This window comes from Homo sapiens, chromosome X (genome assembly GCF_000001405.40).
Source record: "Homo sapiens chromosome X, GRCh38.p14 Primary Assembly".
NCBI lineage: Eukaryota > Metazoa > Chordata > Mammalia > Primates > Hominidae > Homo > Homo sapiens.
Genome location: NC_000023.11, coordinates 45,898,851 through 45,924,487, shown reverse-complemented (window position 1 = coordinate 45,924,487; position 25,637 = coordinate 45,898,851). Strand labels below are relative to the sequence as shown.

The following is a 25,637-nucleotide window of genomic DNA, read 5'->3' as shown; positions in this document are numbered from 1 at the left end:
ATCAGGGAATCAGGGTGGTGATTGCTGAAGGTTGGATTAGCTATGGAAATTTATTAAAATAAGACAACAGTGAAGTTTACCACATCGATCGATCCTTCCTTTCATGAAAGATTTCTCTGTAGCCTGCAATGCTGTTTAATAGTATTTTGCCCACAGTAGAACTTTTTTCAAAATTGGAGTCAATCTTCTCAAACTCTGCCACTGCTTTATCAACTAAGTTTATGTTATATTTAAATCCTTTGTCATTGTTTCAACAATGTTCACAGCATCTGTACTGGAGTAGAGTCCATCTCAAGAAACAACTTTCTTTGCTCCTCCATAAGAAGCAACTCCTTATCCATTCAAATTTTATCATGAGATGGCAGGAATTCAGTCACATCTTCAGGCTTCACTTCTAATTCTAGTTTTCTTGTTATTTCTACTACATCTGAAATTGCTTCCTCCACTAAAGTCTTGAATGCTTCAAAGTCATCCATAAGGGTTGGAATCAATTTCTTTAAACTCCCATTAATGTAGATATTTTGACCTTCTCCCATGAGTTGCAAATGTTCTTAATGCCATGGAGAATGGTAAATTTTTTCCAGAAGGTTTTTGATTTATTTTGCCCCAGATCCATCAGAAGAATCACTATCTATGGCAGCTATAGCCTTACAAAATGTAGTTCTTAAATTATAACACTTGAAAGTCAAAATTTATCCTTGATGTATGAGCTGCAGAATCATGTTGGGTTAGCAGGCACGAAGACAACACGAATCTCTTTGTACATCTCCATTAGAGCTCTTTCATGACCAAGTGCATTGTCCATGAGATGCAATATATTGAAAGAAATCTTTTTTTCTGAGCAATAGGTATCAACAATGGGCTTAAAATATTTTATAAACCACACTATGAACAGATGTGTTGTCATCCAGGCTTTGTTGTTCCATTTATAGAACACAGGTAGAGTAGATTTAGCATAATTCTTAAGGGCCCTTGGATTTTCTGAATGGTAGATGAGCATTGGCTTTACCTGAAAGTCACCAGCTGCATTGGCCCCTACCTAACAAGAGATGCCTGTCTTTTGAAGTTTTGAAGGCAAGCATTGGCTTCTCCTCTTCAGCTATAAAGGTCCTAGAAGGCATCTTCTTCCAACATGGCATCTTCTTCCAACAGAAGGCTGTTTTGCCCACATTGAAAATTTGATGTTTAGTGTAGTCACCTTCATTAATTATCTTAGCTAGATCTTCTGGATAACTTGCCACAGCTTCTGCATCAGCACCTTGTACTTTTATGTTAGAGAGGCAACTTCTTTCTTTAAACCAAATGAACCAACCTCTGCTAGCTTCTGAACCTTTCTCACCTCTCTTAGCCCTCATAGAATGAAAGAGAGTTAGGGCTTTGCTCTTGATTTGGCTTTGGCTTAAAGGAATGGTGTGGCTGGTTTGATCTCCTATCTGGACCACTCAAACTTTCTCCATATCAGCAATAAGGCTGTTTCACTTTCTTATTATTCCTGTGTTCAATGGAGTAGCACTTTTAATTTCCTTCAAGAACTTTTCCTTTACATTCACAACATGGCTGTTTGGTGCAAGAGGTCTAGCTTTCAGTCTATCTTGGCTTTTGACACTCCTTTCCCACTAAGCGTAATCATTTCTAGCTTTTAATTTAAAGTGAGACGTATGTGACTCTTCCTTTCACTTGAACATGTACAGGTCATTGTAGAGTTGTTAATTGGCCTAATTTTAATATTGTTGTGTCTCAGGGAATAGGGAGGCCTGAGCAGAGGAAGAGAGTCAGGGGAATGGCTAGTCAGTGGAGCAGTTAGAACACATATAACATTTACAATTTAAGTTCACTGTTTTATATGGGCATGGTTGTAACATCAAAGACTGCTGATCACAGATCACCATAACGCATACGATACTAATGAAAAAGTCTGGCCAGGCACAGTGGTTCATGCCTGTAATCCCAGCACTTTGGGAGGCCAAGGCAGGTCGATCACCTGAGGTCAGGAGTTCAAGACCAGCCTGGGCAACATGGTGAAACCCCATCTCTACTAAAAATACAAAAAAATTAGCCAGGCATGGTGGTGCGTGCCTATAATCCCACCTACTCGGGAGGCTGAGGTAGGAGAATTGCTTGGACCTGGGAGGTGGAGGTTGCAGTGAGCCCCGAGATTGCACCATTGCACTCCAGCCTGGGCGACAGAGCGAGACTCCGTCTCAAAAAAAAAAAAAAAAAAAAAAAAAAAAGTTGTATGTGTGATTACCATATAACCCAGCAATTCCATTCCTGGGTATATAACCAAGAGAAATGAAAACATATGCCCACACAAAGACTTGTATGTGAATGTTCATAGCAACATTATCCGTAAGAGCTTAAAACTGGAAACAACCTAAATGTCCGTTAACTGGTGATTGAATAAACAAAATATGGTATATCTATGCAGCAGTGTTCTACTAAGCAATAAAAGGGAATAAACTAAATGAACTATTTATATATATATCAACATGGATGAACTTCAAAAACATTATACTAAGTAATAATAGAAGCCAGACACAAAAGAGTACATATTTTATGATTCTATTTATATGAAATTTCTAGGAAAGGTACAACTATGAATACAGAAAGAAGAGTGGTTGCTTGAGGCTGGAGGTTTGTGTGATAGTGGACTGAAAGTGAGTACTGTGGAACTTTTTGGGATGAAGAAATTGTTATAAGATTGGATTGTAGTGATGTTTGCACCAATTAATAAATTTACTATAAATCAACAAATTGTACATTTACATAAGCCAAATTTTACATATGTAAAGTATACCTCAATAAACTTCTTAAACAAAGAAACTTCAGAACAATGTAAAAAACAAAAAGACAATGGCCTGTTTCAAATCTGCACCACAGTTAAAAGAGTACAGAATAGGGGGAATCAAAAGTTTACTGTGAGGGTGGGGCGCAGTGGCTTAATGCCTGTAATCCCAACACTTTGGGAAGCCAAGGTGGCAGGATTGCTTGAGCCCACGAGTTCGAGACCAGCCTAGGAAACATAGTGGGACCTTGTCTCTACAAAAAAAAAAATAATAAAGTTTGGTGTGTGAGGACAATGTGAAATTGGCAAGGACTTAGGCATTAATTGAGATGAATGGGCCAGCAGACCCAAGTATATGCAGCCCAATGTGTACTCAGAGATGGTCACTGTATACCTAAAAGAACTGAACTAATGGAAACCTCCAACTTCTTTAGGTTGATTTCATGTCATACAGGTGTTGTTATTTCTTTTCTTCATTATTAACATGGATTTTCAGAGACCATAAGAAGCATATCTAAAATTGTACAGTTAGGGGGAAAGGACAAGACTTCCAGTTAAGGATATCAACCACGGAGCTATGGAAAGCATACTTTCAACCACAATAAACCCATAGAAACCCTAGTTAAAATATGATAAAATATCAGCAGAAAAAAACGGAAATTTGGACTGGGTGCATCTCAGCGCTTTGTGAGGCCAAGGCAGGAGGATTGTTTGGGCCCAGGACTTTAAGACCAGCCTAGGCAACATGGCAAGACCTTGTGTCTACAAAAAATTTAAAAATTAATTGGTGTGGTGGTGTACACCTGTGGTCACACAGCTACTCAGGAGGCTGAGACAGGAGAATCACTTGAGCCCAGGAGTTCAAGGCTGCAGTGAACTGTATTCCTGCCACTGAGCTCCATCCTGGATGACAGAGTGAGATCGTATTTCAAAAAAAAAAAAAAAAAAGTAAATATGTAGTCAGACTGAAAAATAAAAAAAAGATAACTCAAGCTTATCAGAAACAAAAAGGGAATTTAAAGCCATCATGGTATCTTATCAGAAACTAGAATCCCAAACTGTTACCTAGAAACAATGTAGCAATGGAGACTCCAATAAATTCGGCTGGGTGTTGTGGCTCACACCTATAAACCCAGCACTTTGGGAGGCCAAAGTAGGATGATTGCCTGAGTCCAGGAGCAGGAGAATTGCCTGAGACCAGCCTAGGAGACATAGTGAGACCCCCGTTTCTGCAAGAAATTTTAAAAATTAGCCAGGTGTGGTGTTATGCCTCTGTAATCCCTGCTATCAAGAGGCTGATGTGGGAGGACTGCTTGAGCCCTGGAGGTCTAGGCTGCAGTGAGCTATGATCACGCCAGCTGCACTCCAGCCTGAGTGACACAGTGAGACCCTGTTTCTAAAAATAAAAATTAAAAAATAATAAACTACTGATAGAGGATAAATTGTTTCAAGCACTTAAAAAATAAGCACTAAAAAAATGAGATTACCCAGAAACACTGAGCATGCATATGATTTATGACAAGGGATTCTCCGTAGATTTTACCATGAGACATGCACGAGGATGTTCAGAGCATGACTGTCAGAGGAAAACAGCATAGTATATTCATAAAATGGAATATTCTATAGCAATGAAAATAAACTGTGGCTATACACATTAATATGAATGATACCAGTGAAATGCTGAATGGAAAAAAAGACTCACAGAAGAATGTATACAGTAGAGTTGCATTTATTTAAGGTTCAAAAATAATACATTGTTTAGGGATATACGTATGTGTTAAAACTATGAAAAAAGGCAAGAAAAAGATTCACCCAAAGTTCAGGCTAGTATTACCTTTGACAGAAGGGAGAAAGAAGGGATTAGAGGAGCACAGAAAGTTTAAAAAGGACTGACAATATTGTACCTCTTGAGCTAAGTAGTGGGTGAATGAGTGTTCATGTTATTAGTCTTGTTTAGGTTGTACATATATCTTATGCATGCTCTTTTTATGTATGATACATTTCACAATAAAAATAAATAAATAAATAAAATTTTTATTTAAAAAAAAGGTTGCTGGCCACAAGGTCATCATAGAAATAGTGAAATTCCTATATATAAGTAATCACAAATTAGATAATATTGAAGTTGCATTAATTCAGAGACCAACTTAGTAAGAATTGACAATCGTTGCCATTAAAAGTAATGGCAAAAACTGCAATAACTTTTGCACCAACCTATACAATAGAAAAAACCCATTTGCAATAACAAAACACTATAAAATAACCAGGAATAAGCATAACAAATTATGTGCAGACTTTTATGTGGAAATATATCAAATGTTATTGCGGGATATTGAAAAACACTTTCATAGAGAGGTATGCTTGTTTGTGGATGAGAAGATTCAATATTTTAAGGTTGTCAATTCTTACTAAGTTAGTCTCTAAATTAATGCAACTTCAATTAAAATTATACCAGAATACTTAATGTATTTTAACAAACTAATTATCAAATTCATATAGCAGTGTAAAACTAATGAAAATCCAAGACATTCCTGAAAAAATATAGGACAAGGACGTTTGCTCTGCCGGATATAAAGAATTATATACAGCTACAGTGATTAGGCCGGGCGTGGTGGCTCACGCCTGTAATCCCAGCACTTTGGGAGGCCGAGGCGGGTGGATCACGAGGTCAGGAGATCGAGACCATCCTGGCTAACATGGTGAAACCCCGTCTCCACTAAAAATACAAAAAATTAGCCGGGCGTGGTGGCGGGCGGCTGTAGTCCCAGGTACTCAAGAGGCTGAGGCAGGAGAATGGCGTGAACCCGGAAGGCAGAGCTTGCAGTGAGCCGAGATCGCGCCACTGCACTCCAGCCTGGGCGACAGAGCGAGACTCCGTCTCAAAAAAAAAAAAAAAAAAAAAGCTACAGTGATTAAAACAGATTAAAACAGAGTGATATTAGCATGAGAATAAATAAGTAGATTGATGGAATAGAAGAGGAATCCCAGAAACAGACTGGATATATGGGGATTACTACAGAAATAGACTTATAAATCATTAGGGGAAATTCTAAACTATTTAATGACTACTATCAGGAGATTTGATTATCCCTACGTGGAAAACAAAAAATTCTTACCTCTTAGTATTGACAGAAACCAGATTTTAAATGGATGTATCTGACTGTGGAAATCAGAATTTAGAAATTATTAGAAAAATTTTAGAATATCTTTGTGTATGCAGTATACGTCATAAAAAGCACAAGTCACAAAGGGAAATATTGATAAATTGGACTACACTAAAATTTAAAACTTCTGTATAAAAAATACATCACGAATGACATTAAAAGTTGAACAAGGCTGGGTGCGGTGGCTCACGCCTGTAATCCCAGCACTTTGGGAGGCAGAAGCAGGCAGATCACGAGGTCAGGAGTTCGAGACCAGCCTGGCCAACATAGTGAAACTCTGTCTCTACTAAAAATACAAAAATTAGCCAAGCATGGTGGCACGTGCCTGTAGTCCCAGCTACTCAGGAGGCTGAGGCAGGAGAACCACTTGAACCCGGGAGGCGAAGGTTGTGGTGAGCCGATGTTGCACCACTGCACTCCAGCCTGGGCAACAGAGTGAGACTCCATCTCAAAAAAAAAAAAAAAAAAAAGTTGAACAATCGCTTGGGAGGCTATATTTGCAATGCATATAACTATCACATGGTTGGTATCCAGAATAGATGAAGATATTCTATATATTGATTAGAAATAAATCAGAAAAAAATGGGTAAATGATATGAGCAAGCAATTAATGGAAGAGGGCATACAAATAGCCAATAAACATATAAAAAGAGGCTCAACCTCACAAGTAATCAGCAAAATGCAAACGAAGACAAATATTAGATCTATTTCACATGTATCAGATCAATAAAAACAAAATGTCAGAAAAGATCAAGTATTGATGGCTATCTGGAAAATTAGAAACACTCAAACACTGCTAATGGGAATATCAAGTGCAATTTGGCACTACTAGTAAAGTTGAAACTATACCTAGCAATTCCATCTTTTTTTTTAATTAATTAATTAATTTATTTATTTATTTTGAGGCAGAGTTTTGCTCTTGTTGCCCAGGCTGGAGTGCAATGGAACAATCTTGGCTCACCGCAACCTCTGCCTCCCAGGTTCAAGCGATTCTCCTGCCTCAGCCTCCCAAGTAGCTGGGATTACAGGCATGCGCCACTGTGCCTGGCTAATTTTTTGTATTTTTAGTAGAGATGGGGTTTCTCCACGTTGGTCAGGCTGGTCTTCAACTCCTGACCACAGGTGATCCACCCGCCTCAGCCTCCCAAAGCGCTGGGATTACAGGCGTGAGCCACCGTGCCCGGCAACAATTCCATTTTAAGGTAGCCTAGATAAACTTTCATCCATGTGTTCAAGGAGACATGTATTAAGTATTGCAGGATTATTGTAATAGCAAAAACTATTACCAACTTAATGTTCATCAAGTTGGAATATATTCATATGATGAAGTACTATATAGCTGTAACAAATGAACCAACTCTCTTCCAAAAATATGCTAAAATACGTTGAAATAAAAAAGGAAATTGTACAATTATGTGTATGGTATGATGCCATTTGCATAAGCACACATACAAATATATGAAACATGCAATTAATGCATATATGATTAAATTACAGGAACACAGACTGGAAAGATACACACAAAATTCAGGATGGTAAAAGAAGAAAGGTAAGTGGCTCTGGAGGAGTACAAAGACCCTTTGAACTCTATCTGTAATTTTTTCTTGTATTTAAAAGATCAGAAGCAAATGACAAAATTCAGTTATGTGCTTTGCATACTTGAGTGTTTGTTACATTATTCTCTGTACTTTCTATACTTTAAAAAAGTGTCCCAATAATCAGGGAAGAAAAATATATTTTATGAAGTAGACTAAGGTTTGGAAAAACGACATTTCTTCATACTCACTCACTGGAGGCCCTTTATCCCTCACAGAACACAGAACTTTGAAATGACCCTCCATGCGGTGTAGAATTGCCGTGTGGACACTGAGGAAGGATTGCTGTTTCTAAAGTGGTGAGATGATGAATATGTTAATTAGCTTAATTGACTCTTTCTATAACATATAAACAGATTAAAACAGCACATTGTACCCCATAAATAGACACAATTATTATTTGTCAAATAAAAAAGAGTGTCCCTCCAAAAAAGATTATACAATAGAATGTTATTTGAAGAAATAAATACACACGCATACATATATATGATATAGGATATATATAACATATATCTGATAAATATGCCTCTTTTATTGCCAAAAATACTGGCAGAAGAAGCTCTTGTCTAAATTGCTAAGCACAGGCTAAGGGCTGAGGGAGTACCCGAAGGGAAACTCTGTGCTACTATGTGGGGCTCATATGTCAAGGCAGAGAGCCAAGACAACACAGAGGCTGGGCACAGTGGCTCACACCTGTAAGCCGAGCACTTTGGGAGGCCGAGATGGGAGGGAAGATTGCTTGAGCTCAGGAGTTTGAGATCAGCCTGGACAACATAGCAAGACCCTGTCTCTACAGAAAATAAACAAAATTAGCTGGGCATGGTGGCGCCTGTATTCCTAGCTACTTGGGAGGTTGAGGTGGGAGCCTGGCGGTTTAGGCTGCAGTGAGCTGAGATGGCCTCCGTGCACTTCAGCTTGGGTGACAGAGCAAGACTCTGTTTCAAAAAAAAGAAAAGAAGAACAGAGGATGATTAGGAAGCCTCATGGACAGATGGAGCAGATAGGACGCCTCACCCTGGGCAGAGAGCTCAACAGCTGAGACCCCTAATCCAGGCTTCTGGGCCACAACTGATAGAGCAGAGGAAAACTTGAAGCAAGCCACCAAGAAGGGGCAGCTTTACAAATCTCATTCCACCTCAGACATCCATGAAGCATGCCCCATGAGCCTAGCTGTCTTGGAGAGGTCCTGTCATGCAAGGATGACCTTGTTTTCTGCCACAAAGCAACCAATAGACAGGTCCTGGGCCTGTCTCTCTCCCTTTTCCTCTGGGTCAGACTTACAATAAAATTGAACATTCTGTTAGAATATTTTCCCTTTCCTGTGCAAAGCAATACTGCTGACCCATGAGCAGTAAGAGTGGAAGCTGAGTCGTTCTTCAATAATGGTGACCCAAATCAATGCTGGGCCATCTGCACCATCTTAGTCCTTTTATTACTCCTACTTCCAAATGCTCTCCATCAAGCATTATCTTTTTTTTTTCTTTTTTGAGATGGAGTCTTATCGTGTCACCCAGGCTGGAGTGCAATGGCACCATCTCAGCTCACTGTAACCTCTGCCTCCCAGGTTCAAGTGATTCTCCTGCCTCAGCCTCCGGAGTAGCTGGGATTACAGGCACCCACCACCGCGCCTGGCTAATTTTTGTATTTTTAGTAGAGACGGGATTTCACCATGTTGGTAAGGCTGGTCTTGAACCCCGACCTCAAACAATCCACCTGCCTCAGCCTCCCAAAGTGCTGGGATTGCAGGTGTGAGCCATTGCGCCCAGCCTCAAGCATTATGTTAACATCATCATGCACAGTTCTGAACATCTTACATAAACAAATCACAGCACTATATGACAGCATAACAGAGAGATAGGATGAGATGTGGTCCCCACTGGTGAGGGGTCTGCAATCCTATATACCTGAGAAAATAAATAAAAGCTCAGGAAGCCTATGGTAAATGCCAATGGGATGTTTAGATAGTATGCACTGCAGGGGGTTGGGAGTGGTTGAGGTTCTGAAGGAAGGTTTTATCAATTACTTGAGGCTAGGCACAGTTCTAAAAGACAACCATAACATACTTTTGAATCATGTCCACGTGATTTTTTTTTTTTTTTTTTTTGCAGAAAGAATGTTTTTAGATCAGGAATGGCAAATGTATTTCATCATAAGTGACTGTTCCAATCAATAGGTGCCTAGCATGAAGAAGGGCTAAGACTGCTCCTGGGCTGGGAAAAAAAGAGTTGGTATTCTTCCCAGATAGCTGTCATTGGTACAGCTTAAGTGGGTGGCAGCATGTGCGAGCCATTTCTATACATCTGATTTACCTACTGAATGTGCACGTTGCACATTACCCATGTGTGGCCCTGCAGCAGGAAATTCAAGATCATCCTCTTGTGTACTAGGACACTTTTACAGCTTTATACCTCATTATAATTGTCCCTTGGTACATGCAGGGGATTTGTTCAAGGTCCCTGGGGTATACCCAAATTCACATATACTCAAGTCCCACAGTCAGCCCTACAGAACCCACGTATATGAGAAGTTGGCCCTCCCTATACTTGGGTTTCACATCTTGTGAATACTGTATTTTCTTTTTTTTTTTTGGTAGCAAACTTTTATTTAAAGCTTACATAACTCAAGCTTTATAAAAAGCAAATGTAATTGAAAATTGGGTTGTCCCTCTAAAGCCTTAAGTATTCAAAGCTTGAAACGGTTAATTTTAAAATAAGCAAACAAGTAACACAACAACAACAACAACAAACCCTGCAGCAGATCCTGCTGAAATACTTTTAAAAACATCTAAATGAGCTTAATCTTTACAAAAGTTATTTTAGCTCAAAAGCTATAAAATTGAAGTTATCTTAATTCTACAAAGAAGGGAGAGGGTCTTTGACTTTATGCCACCATTTCCTTAGAGCCTCATCTTTTTCATCAAATTTGGCCACAAATCAAATTTCTGTGTGCCCCTGTTTTCAGGAGATTCCTCTTGCAAAAGAAGCCAAGTATAAACATGGAAGAACAACTGCCTAAGCAAGTAGAAAAGTGTTCCATAATAGTGCGCAATGAATGAAGAGTTCTGGATTAATCTCTGGAACTCAACCTGCACCCTGATCTTTATTTTGAATGGGATCTAGAACGGGATCTTGAAGTAGCTCTTTTTGGCGGAGGGGACACAGAATGACCCTTTGAGGGTGGAGCAGGTAGGGGTGAATTGGAACGAGACTGGCTCCTTGATCTGTATTTTGACTTCATATCACCTTTTCCATTTTCTTTGGAAGATCGGGACAGAGACCTGCTTGGAGATTTCTCATACTCATCCTTAGATCTGCTTTGAGAACAAGAACAGGAGCCCAGATCAGATTTGGGCATAGATTTGCTCCTTGAGCTAGATTTCCTGCCTTTTGAACGAGAACGTGATCGACCTTTGCTCCGCAACCTGATCAGGAGTGACTTTTTGAGATACTTCGAGATCTACTGTGGCTGCTCCTGCGACTCCTACTTCGTGACCATCTTCTAGATCTATACCTGGATCTGCTTCCAGAATCAGATCGCCTATGGCTTGTGCCTGGCTTACCTTCAATAAGCCTAATATTTCTGCACCATCCAGTTTGTCCAAAGCAAGCTTCATGTCAAAATAGGAGTGAAACTCAACGCCCTCACTTGTGCATTCCTTGTGAGCATCAACATAGGTTACTTCATCTGCTTGTTGCATAAAATCCTTTAAATCTTGCCAACTGTAACAACTAGAAAGACTTTCTATAATAAGCTCGTATTCTGTATGAACAGGTGGTCCATATTTGTCTCTGCCAGATGTTCTCTGACTGCTGTATCCACTTCCACCACCATCTCCCTGCATCTAATGGCAAAAGGCCGCTGTCATCATGGCTTCCGGTAAGGTCAGCCAAAGGGCCATGGGGCAAGAGTCACACAATGTATGGAAAAGTCAAGGCCAGTCAAGAAAGGCAGTCATCTTAGCCTCAGTAGACACAGCCTCAGACCCACTGGCCACCAATCCCCACACTCTGGCATCCCATGGCTGCCCCAGGCTGTGAAGGCAGCAGGGCCCGGGGACACCTGAGTCATATGACCCCCAGCCCCCACACCTAAATACTATATTTTCAATCCACATATAAGTGGACGCCCACAGTTCAATCCATGTTGTTCAAGGGTCAACTGTACAGAGCTGGTCAAGAAAGCCCTGTATCCCAAAGATGGTTTCAGTAGCTGCCTGAAATATTATTGTGGTAGATGTCTTTGTTCAAAGTATGGCACTAGGATTTGCCAGGTGGGTGGAATCTTGTGGGATGCTGACAGTTTGCAGGAATTTTATGCAGAAAGGGTTAATAAGGTCACCTTTCTTTTTTTTTCTTTCTTTTGAGCTTAAGCATTATTCTACAGTGCATGTGTAGAAAGCCTTTCTTATTTCCAGAGCCTGCATTCAATACTTTCATAAAAGAAATCGTGGTGACAGTGTATATCAGGAAATGAGTCATGCGTTATTTGAAATTCTAAAGACATTTACCTCCAGAATCAGAGCAACAATAATAATAACAATAAAACATTCACGCACACACAAAACTTCTCTGACAGATGACATGCAAGTTGATGTAATAGCACAGTCTCTGGCTTGCAAGGTAGACATAAATACCTACAGCGCGTTCCCATCAGTCTCAAACTGGGCCATCTGCAAGATAGGATGGGAAGTGCGTGGGCTCTGCAGTCAGAAAGACCTTGATGCATATCCTGACATTACCATTTTCTAACTGTATGACTTTGGATGAGTTTCTTAAATATGAAATGGCAAGAGTAATAGCTAGCCCACAGGATTGTTAAAAGGGTTAAATGAGATCATGTACATAAAGCACGTAGTTAAATGCCTAGTACACTATATGGTTTCCATAAATCTAAGTCCCTTTCCTCCATTTTATTGCCTAAACCATAATAGCTAAATATCTAACTCTATCTATCTTTGTAAATTCTCTAGCTTTCTATTCCATTTTCAGCTGTGAACAGAGGAAAATGCTTCCTTCATTTCGGAATGACCTTCTGTGCTTCTATTCCTGATTCCAGAACTTCCTTCTGGGAACGCAATCCTATGCCCTCTGTGGCCCTCCATGTCCTTCTCCACTGTCTGTCACCAGACTCAGCCCTTGCAGCATTTTTACCTTGCAGGGTTGCTCCAGGCAGGCTACTGGCTGATGCTTTTACTAATAATTACAATCTTCAGAAAGGCAAACTTCATGGGGATTGAAAAAGGAGTCTGTACCTAGTAGCAAAAATTTGAAATTTATGCTCAGGGACTATATGTCGTGCTTTCTTGTTCCCTATCCGTGTAAGTTAGGAAATATTAGTAAATACTTAGCCAGTATAATTTAATATTCATTTAATTATTTATTGACTGATAATAGGAAAAGAAAGAAATGGCAGGAACACTGGCATGGGGGTCAAAGAAATAAAGAGTTTGAGAAGGAAGAAACATGAAAAAAGCTGGAAAAATAGCAGTGCTAAAGGTGGGGTAGATATGCCTCAGCACGCCATAGGTTTTCAGCAAAACAAAAATAAGTAAGATGAGCAAAAATAAACTCTGTGCCCCAGTTATCCAAATTAGTAAGGGACAGTTTGTGGGCCATGAAATGTTTTATTGTGTATCGCTCTATTTTGCTGGAGTGCGCATGGCTTCCCTTATAGCCAGCTAAGTACACACTTAAGGCTTTTTAAGTCCCTCATGAAAACTCTACCCCAGCCACAAGTAATTTCCAGACTTTATTATGGTTCTGTTGGGGGATTCTATATACTGTTCAGCTCAGAAAAGATTTCAAGTATCACTGAAACCTCAGCTTCAATGACCTGAATAAAGTTTGGAAGGAACCCTGATTTTTCAGGAAACTCCTCAAATGCTGAGCAGCGAATGCAGAGTGTCACTTTATAAATAGTCACCTGCTCATTGAGCAGTAGCAATGTGTGACAGACAAAATTGATGCTACTTTTATCCTCATAGTACACTGGATTCTCTTCAGAGAAAAGTGGACTTTTTCCCCCATTTGTCTTGCCACACGGACACAATGGAAGACACCACCCTCCCCTCCCCACACACACAGATAAAATTAGTTGATGTTTGAAGCAGTAGAGTAACCTATATAACCATTCCTGAAAGTAAAATTCAGAGTATCTTAGTGAAACCCGTTGTGTAAGCATGCACATACATACACATACACACAGAGTCTTGTGGGCTTATAAAAAGTTTTGTGAGCACATAAAAGACAAAGGAAAGGAAATGACTTGATAGGGACAATGATCTCATGACTCTTTAACATTTCTGATGCCCTATATACTGTTTTTCAAAAGTTTGCTTTTAAGAAAACAATAAAAGGCCAGCACAGTGGCTCATGACTGTAATCCTGGCAGGAGGATCCCTTGAACCCAGGAGTTCGAGGCCAGCCTGGGCAACATAGGGAGACCCCATCTCTACAAAAATAAAAATAATAGCTGGGCACTGTGCTGCACGCCTACAGTCCCAGCTACTTCAGGGGCTGAGGCAGGAGGATCACTTGAGCCCAAGAGGTCGAGGCTACAGTGAGCTGTGGTCATGCCACTGCACTCCAGCCTGGGCAACAGAGCAAAATCTTGTCTCAATAAAAATAAAAATAATAATAATAATAATAATAAAAAGGTAATGCTTGCTGTTCATTGACTGAAGGGGGCTGTTAGTATAGATTAATGTGAATGCCAAAACAATATGTTTCTCAAAGTTAAGTATGAAGTCCCTTTAATGGTTTGAAAAATTCCCTTGGACATGTAAAGATATATGTTTGGATTTCTGAGGGTCCTTAGTCCACAGTTTTAAAGACAATGAGTTCATAAACTAAATTTCATTTTGTGAAACTATCTTTAAATTGGGAATTATCACCAGGAAAAAAATTTGGTCTTTACAACCAGTACCAAAAAAAAGATTATTATTACAATAAAGACAGAATAGAAAATTATTCTTTTTTTTTTTTTGAGACGGAGTCTTGCTGTCTTCCAGGCTGGAGTGCAGTGGCGCGATCTCGGCTCACTGCAAGCTCCGCCCCCCGGGTTCACGCCATTCTCCTGCCTCAGCCTCCCGAGTAGCTGGGACTACAGGCGCCCGCCACCACGCCCGGCTAATTTTTTTTTTTTGTATTTTTAGTAGAGACGGGGTTTCACCGTGTTGGCCAGGATGGTCTCGATCTCCTGACCTCGTGATCCGCCCGCCTCGGCCTCCCAAAGTGCTGGGATTACAGGCGTGAGCCACCGCGCCCGGCCGAAAATTACTCTTTGTATTAATCATGTTTTTAATTTTTCTGTATTTTATGATACTGATATCTTGGGGCCTTGCTAATCCCAGAGAGACTGCCCCTGTGGGGGCCAGCTAATTCCTAGAGATAGCAAACAAGTTGCCTTCCAGGGCACCTTTCACATGCAAACTAACAATTCATAGCCCATGCTGCCTCCGCCTCCCCACTACCTCCCTTATCTAACTTTTACACACCAAGCCTGCCCTAAAGCACCCTAGGACCACGCACTGAACTAGAGACTATGCCTATAGCCCAGCGCCCACTGAAATTATTTATTTAAAGTAGCCAACCCTAAACTGCTCACCTTGCCCTGCCCATTTCTTCCTGCAAAAAACAAAAGGCTTTTGCCCATTGTGACCCCTCACTCTTTCTGCCTAATTGTAAGGCAGTTGTCTCAGTGTCTGTCACCTTGCCATACCTGATTTAAACAAATCCCAGGTACATTTTTAAACATGCTTAGATTCTCAGTCAGAGACCCCAGTTTGAGAGACACTGCTCCAGAACAGCAGTTCTCAAGTATCCGTGCCCCGCCCTCATCCCCCCAAGGCCAGTAGCGGCACCTGGCAGCATTGTTAGAAATGCAGCTTGTGGACCTGGCGTAGTGGCTCACGCCTGTAATCCCAGCACTTTGGGAGGCAGAGTGGGCGGATCACCTGAGGTCAGGAGTTCGAGACCAGCCTGACCAACATGGCCAAACCCCGTCTCTACCAAAAATACAAAAATTAGCCGGGTTTGGTGGTGTGCGCCTGTAGTCCCAGCTACTTGGGGAGGCTGAGGCAGGAGAATCACTTGAACCCAGAGGCAGAGGTTGCAGTGAGCCGAGATCACGCCACTGCACTCCAGCCTGGGAGACAGAGCAAGACTCCGTCAAAAAAAAAAAGGAAAGAAAGAAAGAAAGAGTGAGGGAGAGAGAAAGAGAAGAAAGAAAGAAAGAAAGAAAGAGAAAGAAAGAAAGAAAGAAAGAAAAGAAAAGAAAGAAGGAAAGAAAGGGAAAAGAAAAGGAAAGAAAAGAAAGAGAGAAAGAAAGGCAGCTTGTGGCAGGGTGCGGTGCCTGTAATCCCAGCACTTTGGGAGGCCGAAGCTGGTGGATCACCTAAGGTCAGGAGTTTTGAGACCAGCCTGACCAACATGGAGAAACCCCGTCTCTACTAAAAATACAAAATCAGCCAGGCGTGGTGGTGCATGCCTGTAATCCCAGCTACTTGGGGAGGCTGAGGCAGGAGAATCGCTTGAGCCCAGGAGGCAGAGGTTGCGGTGAGCCGAGATCAACCACTGCACTCCAGGCTGGACGTGGGCGACACAGCAAGACTCCGACTCAAAAAAAAAAAAAAGAAAAGAAAAAAGAAATGCAGCTTGTTAGAACTGGTCCAGACTTACCACTGAATCCGAAACTCTGGGAGGTGGTGTCTAGCCATAAACCCTCCAGGGTCTTCTAATACATGCTCCAGTTAGATAAACTACTTCCTAGATTCTCATGGTGATCCTTCATGAAGATTTGGTTTTTAATATATCCTGCCCTTTTTCACTTGAGTTCCTAGGCTCTCTTTTTACTCTCTCCTGCATCCTTTTTTTTTTTTTTCTGCATCTCTTTGGTAAATTGATAGCTTATCTTTAGAAGTGCAGTCACACACACCCCCTCCTCCACCCTCCACAGACACGAATGCATACCTGATTGTTCCCCTGCCCCATTTTGTCTTTGTTATCTTATGTAAAATGCAGATTCCCAGCATTTTTCCTCTGCCCCATTTGTCTGTGTCATCTTATGTAAAAAAAATGCAGATTCACTGAGCCAGACAAAGGCATGAATGACTGTTTTTCCCTACACCCCTCTTACATGAAAATTGTGTACTCCTCAATGTCGCACCCTTTCCCCATTAAATTTGGAGCCCTCAAAATTATCTTTGGAGAAAGGCATACACCTGTCTCCTGGGCGTGTGTCCTTAACTTTGGCAAATAAACCTCCTAAAATGATTGAGACTTGTCTCAATCAATCATTGACTCCAGGTCTTCTTGGACTCAGGCAGCACAGTAACGAGAAGAAATTAGGTCTCAAAACTCTAAGTCAGTGCCTAAGTTTCCAATATCTTATGCCTTTATAAGCTCATTTCTGTCTCACAAATAAAGGCAATTAGCACACTGCTCAAACTGAACCCTTCCTAAAACTTGGAAACTGTAAGACGTCTTCATGATATCATTTCATGTTAGCTGTCAAAAACACGAAAGCAAAATGTATATGTTTAAAAATGCAATCTCAAAGGCCGGGCCCAGTGGCTCGTGCCTGTAATCCCAGCACTTTGGGAGGCTGAGGTGGGCAGATCCCTTGAGGTCAGGAGTTCGAGACCAACATGGTGAAACCCTGTCTGTACTAAAAATACAAAAATTAGCCAGGCGTGGTGGCATACACCTGTAATCCCAGCTACTCGGGAGGCTGAGGCAGAAGAATCGCTTGAACCCAGGAGACAGAGGTTGCAGTGAGCCGAGGTAGCACCACTGCACTCCAGTCTGGGCGACAGAGTGAGACTCCGTCTCAGAAAAATAAATAAACAAATAAAATGTAATCTTGAAAATAGTTCCATAATCATTTCAACCAAGTGAGTGATAGTTCTCTGCCTTCCCAAATGCTGAAAAATTATCCACAGTGAGCTGCTACAGCTTAATAAGGTAGCCTTATTCAAATTAATGTAATGTCACCTATTTCTCACAAATAGAATAAGTTTTCTTTTCCTTGCTTGCAGAGATGAATGTTTAAACTTTTCTTCCATGTGTAGTGGCACCACAGGCTCCAGTTTATTTGCTAGGTAAACAAATCAGCATGTGAAGGCCTCATGCAGAAAAACTATAAATATTTCCTAATCATTATCGCTGTCTCGCCTTACTTATTTGGATCCTAGTACAAGAATCGTCATTTGAAAAGCCTTCAAAATTTTGCTAAGGGGGCTCAAATGCCAGCAGAAGCATGAGGATTCAGGGAGAGGGGAATAGAACTGAGGCAGGATCTTGAGGAAGGAGACCTGCAGTCCATCCCAACTCTGCCAAAAGCCCATTGTGGGACTGCAGAAAAGTTACCTAACCTCTCAGGCTGACATTTTCTCCTCTTCTCATTTTAGATAATGTCTAAAATCAACTGAGACCCCTTGGTCCAAAGCTTCCGTGATTCAAAGAGAGTTTGATCTCTTCTTGCCCCATTCCAAGACTTTAGTCAACTTTGAGAAGACTATAGTTTTGGCGCTAGACTGGGTGGTAATAGTGGGGTTGTGAATTGCTCCAGAAGTGCAGTAGTCTGGGGTTGCCTCCCGCCCTGGAAGGAACTGACCATTCATCACCCTGCAAGCTCCTTCTCAGGCAGCCCACTTGTGATTCTGGAAGATTATTTGCCCTACAAGCCTCTGGCTGATATTCCTTCAGAGGGAGGAGCATGGTTTTGTTTCACAAGCTCTTAACCTTGGCTGCACATTCACATCACCTGGGGGAACTTTAAAAAAATACCAGTGTCACCAACGACCCCATGAAAAAGCGGGCAAAGGACATGAATAGACACTTCTCAAAAGAAGACATACACACAGCTAACAAGCATATGAAAAAATGCTCAACACCACTAATCATTAGAGAAATGCAAATCCAAACCACAATGAGATACCATCTCACACCAGTCAGAATGGCTATCATTAAAAAGTCAAAAAAGAACAGATGCTGGTGAGGTTGTGGAGAAAAGGGAACGCTTATACACTGCCGGCAGGAGTGTAAATTAGTTTAGCCATTGTGGAAAGCAGTGTGGCAATTCCTCAAAGAACTTGAAACAGAATTACCATTTGACCCAACAATCTTATTATTGGGTATATATACCCAAAGGAATATAAATCATTCTACCATAAAGACACATGCACGCGTATGTTCATCACAGCACTATCCACAATAGTAAGGACATGGAATCAACCTAAATGTCCATCAATGGTAGACTAGATAAAGAAAATGTGGCACCATACACCATGGAATACTATGCAGCCATAAAACAGAATGAGATCATGTCCTCTGCAGCAACAAGGATGGAGCTGGAGGCCATTTTCCCAAGCAAATTAATGCAAAATCAAATACCATATACTCTTGCTTATAAGTGGGAGCTAAAAAATAAGAACACATGGATACTAGGAGGGGAACAACAGACACTGGGGTGTACTTGAGGGTGAAGAGTGGGAATATGGAGAGGATCAGAAAAAATACTATTGAGTACTATGCTCATTACCCGGGTGATGAAATTATCTGCATGCCAAACCTCCATGCCACGCAATTTACCTGCATAACAAACCTGCACATGTACCCCTGATCCTAAAATAAAAGCTTAAAAAAACCAATTGTGTAGCTCCAGCTTCCAGAGATTCTGATATTGGTCTAGGGTATGGCCTAGACATTGGGATTTTTAAAATCTCCCAAGATGCTTCCAAATGCAGCCAGATTCCAAAACCACTGCCAAGGTAATGTGGTACACTGATTCGAAAGCCTAGCTACAGATCCCTCTTGAAGACGAATATTAAAACAAAGGTGGAAAGAAGAAAGGATTCACCTGGGAAGAGGATCAGAGGAGAAATAAATGGCTGAAGGAGGAAGGACTAGGTAGATACCGAAGGCAATCTCCACCGTCCTCAGAAACAGGTGCTGAGCAAATGCATCCCTACTGGTGAGGTGGTGATTCTGTGCAGGCGGCTGACTCCCCAGCTTGGCTTCTGGCTTCCCCAGAGCACAGGGGACATAGAAGCTAATCCTGTGTAGAGATGTGTCTGTTTTCCATCTGGCTCTCTGCTATCCTTCCCTAGAGACTGCCTGGTATGGGGACTGCTAAGGGGGCACACTTTTCTCAGTGTGCCACAATGGGCTTGGCACACGTCCTCAAGGATGCATCTGGGCTGAGCAAGACAGTAGCTGGGCCCCCCTGCAGACCTCTTGATTTGGTAGCCAGTAGACCCTGGTCACAAACAAATGATTCCATTTCCTGAGCCTGTGCTTTAATTGCCTTTCCTTGCAAAACAGGCTTATAGGCAGTTTAAGTGAATGGATCTGGCAAAGGTATTTCTTTGGTTGAGGTATTACACTAAAAGCAATTGCCCAAGAATGAAAGTGATAGTATTAGAAACTCACAGGCTCATAAACTTCAGGACACTCTGACACCTTATTTTATATAGCACCTCAGAATTTACCAAACACTTATACATCCTCTAGCTCATTTCGTTTTAGTTCAGAGCATCCCACGAAGTAAGTAAAGTATTAACCATCTTCTTTCGTATGTGAGGACAGGAAAGCTCAGAGTGGTTTAGTAACTAGCCCAAGGTTTACAGCTATTATGCTAGTTCTGGACCTACTTGCTCTCAATTTATTTTTGTGTCGTTTTCCAGTTCCACTTTGTAGGGCAGGAGGGTTGACCCCTGCAGGCCAGTTTTCTGAGTAAGCTCCTGTGTCAGCTGCCTGGGTGCAGCCAATGGAAGGAATGGTTCGGAGGGGAAAGCTAGACCACCCCTCCCTGCCTTGGATGGCTTCTCCCACAGGGGCTATGTCTTTTCCCTTGAAGGACAGACCCGTCCTGGTGCCAGCTTTCACGGGTTGACTCCTGCTCCTCAGTGCCTGTGTCATGGGCTCCTCCCCTTCTCCCTCTGTTTTTGTGGCTTCCTGCTGTTGCTAATCTCTGAGTTGCCAAGTGGCCTGTTTGGCTTCTCAGCAATTCCTTTACCTGAATAACCAGCTCCCTGCATTAAAGTGCTCTGGGTTAAACACTCAAGAGGGTTCTGTTTACTGGCTAGACTCTGTATCAGGCAGGATCCTGGCAGGAAACAGATGGTGCACTCAACAGGGTAACCAAAGCGAGTTGAACGAAGAGACTGTTTACATCGATGTGGATCCTGATAGAGTATGGTGGGGAATTGTTGTGGCTTTACCTTCCGTGGGCCAGCAAGGGCAAGGGGAGGCAGTAGGATTACCAGAGAAGATGAGACCTGTAGTCTTGGAAGAGGGGCTTCCTGGCAGAGCTGTGGCTATAGACACCGGAAAAAGGAACTGCCAAAATCACATCTTACCAAGGAGGGAGAGATAGAAGGTGGGGAATAAATACACCTTTCTCTCCTCCCACCCTCCTGTCTCCAGCTGGTGCCTCCCATTGACCAAACTTAATAAAAAGCCAGAGGCCAAGGGTGATGCAGTCCATAAAGGTTAGTCTCCAGGGGCCCAGTCAGGGCAAAAAATGAGAGGGAAGATCTGTGCGTGTACGTGTACATGTGTGCGTGCATGTGCACATGTCTTTGTTGAGGGAAGCAAGGAACAAATGGAGAAAAAACAGCTTGACTGACAAATATAGCCAATAAAAGCCTGGGTCAGGACAAGCACCCTGTTATTCTAATTTCAGGTCCCAAATTTATTCTACTTCACCAGGTCGATTTGACACAAGATAAATATGATGCATAAATCCTTACCTTTGCTTCTGTTTATTTTTATTGCACAGAATGTGTTCAATATTAAGGCAATTTGAGCTTTTCATTATGTATTTTAATTGGCAAAGTAAAATTGTATGTTTTTATATGGGACAATGTGATGTTTCGATATATGTATACAATGGGGAATGATTAAAGCAAGCTAATTGACATATTCATCACCTCACATATTATTTTTTGTGGTGAGAACATTTGAAATGTACTCTTTCAGCAAGTTTGAAATATATAATACACTATTATATCATTATCATTATTATTATTTTTTGAGACGGAGTCTTGTTCTGTTGCCAGGCTGGAGAGGTGCAATGGCGAGATCTTGGCTCATTGCAACCCCTGCCTCCCAGGTTCAAGCGATTCTCCTGCCTCAGCCTCCTGAGTAGCTGGGATTACAGGCACGTGCCACCGTGCCTGGCTAACTTTTGTATTTTTTGTAGAGACAGAGTTCCACCATGTTGGTCAGGCTAGTCTCGAACTCCTGACCTCATGATCCACCCACCTCACCTCCCAAAGTGCTGGGATTACAGGGGTGAGCCACCACGCCTGGCCATAGTACACTATGTTAACTATAGTTACCATACTGTGCAAGAAATCTAAAAACCCAATTTCTTCTGTCTGAAACTTTGTACCCTTTAATCAACATCTCCCCAATGCCCCTTACCCCCAGATCCTGGGAACCACCATTCCACTCTCTCTTCTAAGTTCAACTTTTTTTAGATCCCACATGTGAGTGAGATCATGAGGTATTGGTCTTTCTGTGCCTGGCTCATTTCACTTAACATAATAACCTCCAGGTTCATCCATGTTGACACAAATGACAGAATTTTCTTCTTTTTTAAGGTTGAATAGCATTCCATTTTGTGTATATACCACATTTTCTTTATCCATTTATCTACTAATGGGCACTTAGGTTAATTTCACATCTTGGCTTTTGTAAATAATGCTGTAATGAACATAGCCAGTTCAAACTTTTATCTGTTACTTTGGGGTGCTAAAAACTTCTCTGGGCACAGTGCCTTTAGAAGGAAGATTTATCCAGCCGGGCGAGGTGGCTCATGCCTGTAATCCCAGCACTTTGGGAGGCTGAGGGGGGCAGATCACAAGATCAGGAGATTGAGACCATCCTGGCCAACATGGTGAAACCGTGTCTCTACTAAAAATACAAAAATTGGCTGGGCGTGGTGGCACATGCTTGTTATCCCAGCTACTCTGGAGGCTGAGGCATGAGAATTGCTTGAACCAGGGAGGTTGCAGTGAGCTGTGATCACGCCACTGCACACCTGCCTGGCAACAGAGTGAGACTCCGTCTCAAAAAAAAAAAAAAAAAAAAAAAGAAGGAAGATTTATTAAGGTGACACTGATAGATCTCCTAAGAATAATCTTATTCTAAATGAAGAGATTTTAGATAATTCTGACTTTTCTCATTGTGTATGTGTGTGTGTGAGAGAGAGAGAGAGAGAGGGAGAGAGATGTTTTCGTTGTTTCTAATGAGCAAGTAATTTTACAATTTAAAAAACTGTACTATTTTAATTTCAGGCTTTAGAAAAGGATGATTTTTTCAGGACAACTATGCCTCCAACCCTCCAACCTCATTTTCTTGATTATGAACAATATTCCTGAGTTTCTACAAATAGGGAACTTCCTTTTTTTACAGACAAGGAAGCCTGAGACCAAAGGAAAGTGGCTTGTCCCTAGTCTCCCTGCCGGCTGGGGACAGAGCTGGGACTAGACCCAGGTCTCCTGCCTCCCTCCTGTACCAGTGCCCTTTCTGACCAGCCGTGCCTTTGCAACACTGTCCAGCTCACAGAGAAGACTGATTTTGCCTCTGCAAAAACAATATTCACTGCCTTTCCCCCTGAAAGTTTCTGTTAGACTAATAGCTCCTTTGATAGAAGCAGCAAAGGGAGGGCAAGGGAAGAGTTGGAGGGCGAGCTGAAACTGGCTGGAAGAAGAGGCAGAGGCAGGGCTGACAACATAGCAATGAGGGGGTAGCTTGAAGAGAGCTGGCTGGAGGAGGACGAGGGCTCAGCGACTCACACACATAAAAATAAGTACAGAAGAGAGTGACCTTCCATTGCTGTTCCCATGGCAAATGCATCTGATTTTTTTTTTTTTTTTAACTAAAAGTAACATCTGTGGAGCCATGATGGGCTGGGGTTTTGCCAGACTCAAAGTGCTTTACTGGTTTCTATACACTGGAAGGTCGCCCTCCCTTCACTGAGCAGCAGGGGCCTTTTATAGACACATGCTTTGTCTCGGGAGGAATGCACGGTTAAAATGGATTGCTTAATGTTCTAGACTAGAGTGAATCTGGTAATGTCTGAAAAAATGCCAGAGAATGTGCCTTAGAATTTCACTCGGGCCCATTTGAGTCTTTAGCATTTATGTGTGTCTGAGAAGTCAGTCCACCTTTGAGTGTCTTACCTGTGTGGCTGGGCTGGGTTGTCTTCTTAGGTGGCAGAAATCACCGGTACAGAGCCCAGAGTAACCTTGGAGCAACTGAAGAAAATGAAACATGGAGGAAATGCAGGACATCATGAAAAGAAAATCAGGCTGGGCATGGTGGCTTATGCCTGTAATCCCTGCTCTTTGACAGGCCGAGGTGGGAAGATTGCTTGAGGCCAGGAGTTCAAGACCAGCCTGGGCAACATAGTGAGATCCTGTCTGTACTACTTCTACTACTACTAATAAGTAATCAATGAGCCCTACTGTTTGTTAAAGCTCTGCTCACAGCCCACAGCAGTGATCACTCGGTATCTAGAAGCGTGACACACCACAAAACAGTCTAGTGGCTATGAACTAAAGCAGGGGAAATTTCCCAAGTAGACAAATATGTTTCATACACTTGTCTTTCCCTTTCCACTTGTCTTTCCCCGTCACACTCTGTGAATGTCTCCACCATCTCCTGCTGGCTTAACCCCTTGAAACCTCCTCATGGGCAACCTGCCACCGCAACCCTCTCCCCAAGTTTCAAATGACCCTCTCCTCAACCTTAAAGTAGACTTGACTTGCTCTCCCTTGGAAGTGCACTTTAGAATTCTGCCTTGGGGCCGGGCACAGTGGCTCACGCCTGTAATCTCAACACTTTGGGAGGCCGAGGCAGATGGATCACCACCTGAGGTCAGGAGTTCGAGACCAGCCTGGCCAACATGGTGAAACCCTGTTTCTACTAAAAATACAAAAATTAGCCAGGTGTGGTGGTTGCGCGCCTGGTATTGCAGCTGCTCAGGAGGCTAAGGCATGAGAATAGCTTGAACCCAGGAGGCAGAGGCTGCAGTGAGCCAAGATGGTGCCACTGCACTCCAGCCTGGGTGACAGAGCAAGACTGCCTCAAAAAAAAGATTCTGCTTTGGGCCTCAAGAACACATGATGATATTGTCTCTACATTCTGCTCTCCTGTTCCTCATTTTCTTCTGTTTTTACACTATGTTCTTGGAACCTGTTCTAATAATTACACCTGTTAAATTCAAGCCATGAAGATTCTGGGCCACCCCGGACATAAGATGCTCTCGAATGAGATCAGAATAGTAATCACAGCTAAGCCTCTGGAATCTGGAGGCCTGTCAGGAGCTAATGCTTCCAAGCATAAAAGAGATAATGATTTTGATGAGGACGCTTTACTCTGACCCTGGCAAGCTCTGTATGGAATGATCCCCAGAATTATTGCTGGCATTGATTGAAACAAAAGATCAGATATCTTACAATGTTCATCTTCATGAAATTGTTTAACTTCAGTGAGGAGACTAGAAAAGTTGAAGAATGCAATGGTTGCTTGGTTCTGAAGTGAAAACTAGTCTCAATCATTCCTCAACAAACTAAAAATAGAGCTACCATATGATCCAGCAATCCCACTGCTGGGTATATACCCAAAAGAAAGGAAATCAGTATATCAAAGAGATAATCAATGATACTTGATTACCGAGTAACATGCAGAAGATCATTGACCATCTCCCTCCCTTTTTCTTCAATCATTACTGCATTTCAGGGATCACAAGATAATTCACTAAGGGCTGTTCACCTTTGCTTTTATGTTCTCAGGGAAAATGGATTGGAAAGCATTTGAGGAAATATAGCTTATAGGTAAACGATTGTTTGTAATATATTCTTCAGGAGGAGAAAACTTGCCATCTTTAATGTCAACTTGGAAGCAAATATTTAGCATCCCAAAATGTTCCTATAGTGGTGGCTTTTAAAAAGTGGAAATAATGCGGATATGTCCTACTATAGCTGAAATTTAGAGAAAAGAAAAACACAAATAAAAAGTCTAAGACAGTGATTGTCTGAACTACAACTTGCGTGTGATCTGATTGGAATGATCTGTCTTG

The 25,637-nt window shown here is 41.8% G+C and overlaps 1 pseudogene, besides 1 other annotated feature; it reads right to left on the bottom strand.

Annotated features, from left to right (window-relative positions):
- SRSF6P1 (SRSF6 pseudogene 1) lies at window positions 10,423-11,372 on the bottom strand (annotated as a pseudogene).
- Window positions 14,719-15,254: an enhancer, noted in NCBI's record as "NANOG hESC enhancer chrX:45768669-45769204 (GRCh37/hg19 assembly coordinates)". NCBI's record gives its function as "activates a minimal SCP1, AML or CMV promoter by ChIP-STARR-seq in naive and primed H9 embryonic stem cells {active_cell/tissue: H9 hESC(naive and primed)}" and the evidence as "EXISTENCE:reporter gene assay evidence [ECO:0000049][PMID:30033119]".